This window comes from Homo sapiens, chromosome 3 (genome assembly GCF_000001405.40).
Source record: "Homo sapiens chromosome 3, GRCh38.p14 Primary Assembly".
Taxonomy (NCBI): Eukaryota; Metazoa; Chordata; class Mammalia; order Primates; family Hominidae; genus Homo; species Homo sapiens.
In genome coordinates this window covers 75,139,100-75,145,304 of record NC_000003.12, presented here as the reverse complement: position 1 = coordinate 75,145,304, position 6,205 = coordinate 75,139,100, and the positions used below count along the sequence as shown (strand labels likewise).

The 6,205-nt window shown below is 45.7% G+C and overlaps 1 long non-coding RNA gene across 1 annotated transcript; it reads right to left on the bottom strand.

Annotated features, from left to right (window-relative positions):
- Positions 1-480: 480 nt before the first annotated feature.
- Positions 481-5,737, bottom strand: LOC107986099 (uncharacterized). The gene is made up of 3 exons (XR_001740759.1): positions 5,256-5,737; positions 3,432-4,633; positions 481-3,171 (listed from the first exon to the last, which is right to left on the bottom strand). It is a non-coding gene; the product is annotated as an uncharacterized LOC107986099 (long non-coding RNA).
- Between the last annotated feature and the right edge of the window lie 468 nt (positions 5,738-6,205).

The following is a 6,205-nucleotide window of genomic DNA, read 5'->3' as shown; positions in this document are numbered from 1 at the left end:
CATTCAAGTATTCTAACGCTCAGATTCTTCACCAACCTAACAGAGATTAATATCTAGAAATAAACAAAATACTGCTAATAAAGACACTGTAGGAATGGCTGTTTCATAAAAGTTGTGCGATAAATGATAGCTCCTGATTTTGTATCAATACAGTAACAGTAGTAGTTTTTTAGAATCAATGGTTTTAGCGTTAAACAGTAGTGGTGGTGATAGTAAGCAGTAATCATCCTTACCATGAGTTTCCAAATGCTAAGAAAAATGATTGTGTTGTGGCTTTCTTTCTTTGAAATTAAACTTCTCAAAAGAAATGGTCACTTTATTCATACATTGCTCATGAGAGCATTAATTGATACAATCTTATTGGAAAGTAACCTACTAGAAAATTGGAAAAATCCATTAAAGTTCAACATATACAGACTCTCTAAACCAGAAGGTCCATTGTAGCAGGACGAGCCACAGACAAATGCCCTCAGACACCGGGTTAAAGAAGGAAGAGGCTTTATTTGGCCAGGAGTGTTGGCAGACTTGTGTCTCAAGAACTGAACTCCCCAAAAAAAGAGTTCCCGCTTACAACTCTAAGGGGTTCACGTGAAAGGGTCACGATATATTGAGCAAGCATGTGGTACATGACTAGGTGGGGGTGGTGAGCAAGGCAAGTATTTCTCCATACCATTATCTGTGATCTATAGATAGCACAAGCAGTTAGGGTGGGGTTAATCTTTAACCTACAGGCCTGGCCAGTGGCACTGATCAGTCTGTTATTTTTCAGTTTTTACTTCCTCCTTTTCTTTGGATACAGGGGACAGTAGGAGAAATGGCTTGTCTCCTAATACCCCTCTTTGAGAACCTCACACACTAGTGGGAGTTCTCATTCTCATCCTCACTATCTAGATCTTCCTGTGAGACATATCGATAGTGATTCATGTAATATACTTGTGCTGAGGTCTTTTGATGAACTAAGGTGGTAGAAATATGGGTAACATACAGGGGAGTAACATGCATGTTCCTAACACTATTATTATTCCTATTATAAAAGTTTTAAATCCTCCTAGAGCTGGAAACTATTTTCCAAACAGGGATCAAGGATCAAACCCATGCCAAACCTGCATGGGTACATGTGCCAGCTTTGTCATGTCTCTAACTATATTTTCGACTACTTGTCCTTGACCATCTATTTGCAGACAGCAATTGGTCAAGTTGAATTTTCCACAGACTCCTCCTTCAGCTGCCAGCAAATAGTCTAAGGCCAATCTATTCTGCTAGATGGCATTTCTCATTTGGGGTTTCTGCTGGGCTAAAAGAGTCAAAGCTCTGCCAGTTTCTTTAGTGATTATTTCTAAGATGGCCTGTAACAGTATGATCCAGTTGAGCATGTAGATAGGGGCTCAGTATCCCCACAAGCCATCTTGTGCCCATGTGGCAGGCCTATAGTACTGTGTGATCCTTTCGGGGGGGGGCCACTCATCACCTTTCCAATTTCCTATAGCTATGCTCCTCTTTTCTCGGGAGACATAGACAGGGAAACCTAAGAGCTCACCTGTTCTAACGGGCAGTAGGAAAACGGATGGCTTACTGGTGCCAATGACACAACTACCTGGCCATTGATCAGGTAACTGAGTGTAGACTCTGTGCCTACATATCCAGTATAGTCCAGTAGGAGCCGTCCAGTCTCGATGAGATTGTGGATGGGCCAAGCAATCTGTAATTTAGGAAATTTACTGAAGGAATGTAATGAAGGAAATTTACATACTTTTCAGTATGGTTTAGACCCCACCAGGTGACTGTCCCTGTTGTGCCGTTATACAGCCTCTGTCCTAGACCTCTGTCCTAGACAATTGAGCCTTCCTACAGGGATGGTGAAGTCTTTTCATTCCCTAGCTATGCAGTATTGTTCAGTAATAGAGGTTTTCAAGACCCAGAAGTCTTCTGGACTGGAATTATGTCAGGAACTGGATCAGTAGGCACCAATTCTCGGGCTTCCCAAGGCCATCGGTCTCCCATAGTGGTTCCCCCACATATGTAACAGGAAGTAACATTGAGGAAATGAGCTACATTTTCTGCTAAATGGAGAAACAAGTTCTTTTCTTTTTTGTGGAAGCTCTGGTGCTGGCAGATTCAGCTCATCATAAAATGTCTGAAACACTGGTTTGGGAGAGAGCCTGTGGACCTCCCCTTGGACTAAAATATTTACTCAGGGATCCAGTCCAGTTCCATTGATTCCTAAATTTACATACTCTCCTGTTTTCCAATGGGGATCAAGGGGATTGGTAATTAGTAGTTCTAATAGGTTACAGTAACCACAAGTGCATGAAGAGTTACTCTTTCCTTTTTGAAGGAGGACAGGGTCCTTCTCATATTTTTTTCCAGGTGGCCTAAATAACACAGGACCAGTAACTACATTCATCAGTACATAGTCCTAATTCATGACAAACATACTTATTTTCTACTATATAGCCCCTTTCCCAATCTAGAGAGCTACATCTTATTCTATTTCCATACAGGTCACTGTTGATTGCTGCACAGGCATCAAATTTTAAGAAAATTTGTTTGGGGACTCCTTTCTCTTCTATTCTAGTTACTACTCTACTCATATCAGCTTTTCCCCAGCTCCCAGTCCTCAATCTTATTTCAAAAATGGTAGTCATAGGAGGCTCAGATGGGTTAGAGCACACATCAGGCTGGTCACTTCCTGGGCTACATACCTTGTATAGAGTAGCATTATACAAACAAGTTCCTCTTAGAGTCCCGGTACACTCATAATAACTATAAAATAATGGACTACAGCAACCTTTTGTCCTATCTCAGTGACTTGATATATATGCTGGGAATTGTCCTCAGTCTGAGGAAGGTCAGTTGAAGTCCTTACTCTATAAGTCCAAAGTTTAAGGAAAAGGAGTCCCAAGATGAGTTTCCTCATGCTTCGGCCGTGTGTGGACCAGTCAGCTTCCGGGTGTGACTGCAGCAGGGCTTGTCGTCTTCTTCAGAGTCACTTTGCAGGCGTTGTCCGGGCTTGGTCTTACCTCCCAGGTCTCAGGTGCTGCAGGTTTAACGTGGCTGTGGTGGATCCAGGCTGGGATTCCCTCTACCTTTATGGCTGTGGTCAAGACGACAGTCTGGGGTCCTTTCCACCATGGCCACAAGGGGGTTACGTTCTAATCCTTGATCCACACCCTGGGGAGAAAGGGTGAACTGGGGAGAATAAGCTGATGGGGCATCTCTCATTTACTCAGGCTGAAATTGTTTGTGTAATTTTCCCTGAAGCCTGTAGCTGTCTCTGTAACTCAATTTCACCTAGGTCTCGAGGAGTACCTGGGAGTCCCCATAGTATGGGAGGGGGCCTATGATATAATATTTCATAAGGAGAATAGCCTGTTCTTTTAGAAGGGGTACATCTAATCTTAAACAATACCACAGGGAGAGCTTGTACCCACCTTAACCCTGTTTCTTGACACACTTTCACTAAATTATGTTTTGGTAGTCTGATTCATCTGCTCCCTTTCCGGAACTTTGTGGTTGGTAGGCGGTATGTAGTTTCCATGTGATCCCCAATACCTTAGCTGTCTTCTGTACCAAGTCAGCCACAAACGCCGGCCCATTGTCCAAGCTGATTCGTAAGTGCAGTCCAAACCTAGGCATGAGATCTTGGAGAAGCACATGGGTTACTTCACGAGTTTTCTCAGTTCATGTTGGATAGGCCTCCACCCACCCAGAGTACGTACACACTAGAACTAGCAAATACTTTTTACCTCCACATTTGGGCATCTTGGTGAAGTCTACTCGGAGATCTTCCAAGGGGGCTGCTCCATAAGCTTGTATGATGGGCAGAATGGTTGGACCTTGCCTAGCATCGTGCTGCCAGCAGGTAACATATGGCTGCGCCACTGTTTTGGCAAGGGCTGACAGATGCGAGATTTAGAAATACTGGCCTAACAACTTTTCAAGTGACTCTTGGCCTAGGAGGGTGGTCTCATGCACAGCCAGTACGACGGTGGCTCCTAGCAGTTGTGGCACAGCTATTCTTCTGTCCAATTACTGGATCCATCCCTCTTCTATCATCTGCCCTCCCTCTGCCTGGAGAAAGTACTTCTCTTCTTTAGAATAAGTATGTACAAGGTCAGGTTCCTGAGGGAGCAGGGGATGCTGTGACTGATGCCCGGTAGGGTGTGGATGTTGCTTTTTGAGCCTCTGAGTCAGCTTGGGAGTTCCCCAAGGCAATCAAGGTAGAATCTCACTGGTGTCTACTGCAGTGCATGACTGCCACCTTTTGGGGCTTCCACACTGCCTCTAATAGTTGCAGGATCTCTTGCTGATACTTTACATCTTGTCCCCCAGAGTTCAATAGGCCTTTTTCCTTGTATAATGCCCCATGCACTTGAAGAGTTAAAAAGGCACACCTAGAGTCAGTGTAAATGTTTAGTCTTACCTTCACTTAGCTCTAAGGCCTGAATTAAAGCAATGAGTTCTGCCTTCTGGGCTAAAGTACCCTGGGGCAACAATTTGGCTTCAATGACACCGTCCAGGGTTACCTCTGCATATCCAGCACACCTCTCTCCTTGGGTTGACGAAGCTGCTCCCTTCCATGTATAGCTCCCAGTCTAGTGATGTCCAAGGATGGTCTCGGAGGTTGGGCCTGCTAGAATAAACTGAGTCCAATACCTCTACACAGTTATGTTCAACTGGGCTCTCTGATATCAGGAGCAAGGTGACAGGGTTCAGGGTGTTGCAAACTTCAATGGTTATGCGGGAATTGTCACAGAGCAAGCTTTGGTTCCTAGTTAGTCTAGCATTCGTTAACCAATGATGTCCTTTGATGTTCATTAGTGTTACCACAGCATGGGGGGCCTTTATGTTTAGGTTTTGCCCAACAGTTAGCTTATCTGCCTCTTGTACTAACAGGGCAGTTGCTGCCAAGGCTCTTAAGCATGGGGGCCAACCTTAGAAACTCCATCTAGCTGTTTGGAGAGGTAGGCTATCGGTCTTGGCCAGAGCCCCATCATCTGGGTTAAAACTCCAACTGCCATTTTTTCTCTTTCTGACACATACAGTGTAAAAGGTTTTGTTAGGTCAGGTAGCCCCAGGGCTGAGGCCAACAAGAGCTTCTCTTTTAACTCATGAAAAGCTCATTGCTGTTGGGACTCCCATTCAAAAGGTTCCTTGTCTCCCCGCTTTGTGTCTCTGTACAGGGGCTTAGCCAATACTGCAAACTTTGAGATCTGCAACTTGCAGAACCCTGGAGCTCCTAAGAATTCTCTTACCTGCCTTCTGGTCTTAGGCTCTGACAGGTTGCAGATGACTTGCTTTCTTTCTGATCCCAGGCTGCGCTCTCCCTGTCGGATAGTAAATCCCAGATAACGTACCTGCTGTCTGCAATCTGAGCTTTCTTCTTGGACACCTTATACCCACAGTCTTCTAGGTGCTGGAGCAGGGTATTCATTCCCTTGGCACACCCGACTGCCGTGGGGTGTCCCAGCAGAGGTCGTTGACCTAATGGAGCAGCACGCAGCCTAGGTCTCTGGTGGGAAACTTCTGGAGGTCTCAAGCCAGCACCTCCCCAAAGATGGTGGGGGAGTTCTTGAACCCTTGGGGGAGCTGGGTCCAAGTGTACTGAGTGGTGACACCTGACCCCAGATCCTCCCACTGAAAGGCAAACAGTTTTTGGCTCTCAGGGGCTAGTTTGATACTAAAGAAAGAGTCTTTTAGGTCAAAGCAGGTGAACCAGCTGTCCTCAGCTGGCAGCAACCCCAACAATGTGTATGGGTTAGGTACCGTTGGGTGCAAAGTCACTGTAGCTTGGTTGACCAAGCACAAATCCTGTACTGGCCTGTAGTCCCTGGTCCCTGGCTTGGGAACAGGTAGGAGGGGACTGACATGGGACTATAATTCCAAAGGCCCTCAGGTGCTTGAGATGGACCTGGATGCCCTCAATGGTTTCTCTGGGGACCTGGTACTGCTTTTGCCTGAATGGCTGGGCCCCAGGCTTAGCTTCTAAGTACAGGGGCCTGGTTGATTGCCAAACCTGGAGGGTTGTCTTCCACCCACACCCTTGGCCACCGCTTAGCCAGAGCTGGTCCTATCTCTTGGCCTGGCTCAGTTAAGAAGAGTCTCCATTCCTCCTCCCAAGGAACCGTAAGAAACACAATGACTCCCATTCCAGGTAACTTTAGCTGTAAAGAGCCATGCTTTGTAAAAGAGATAGTGGCTCTCC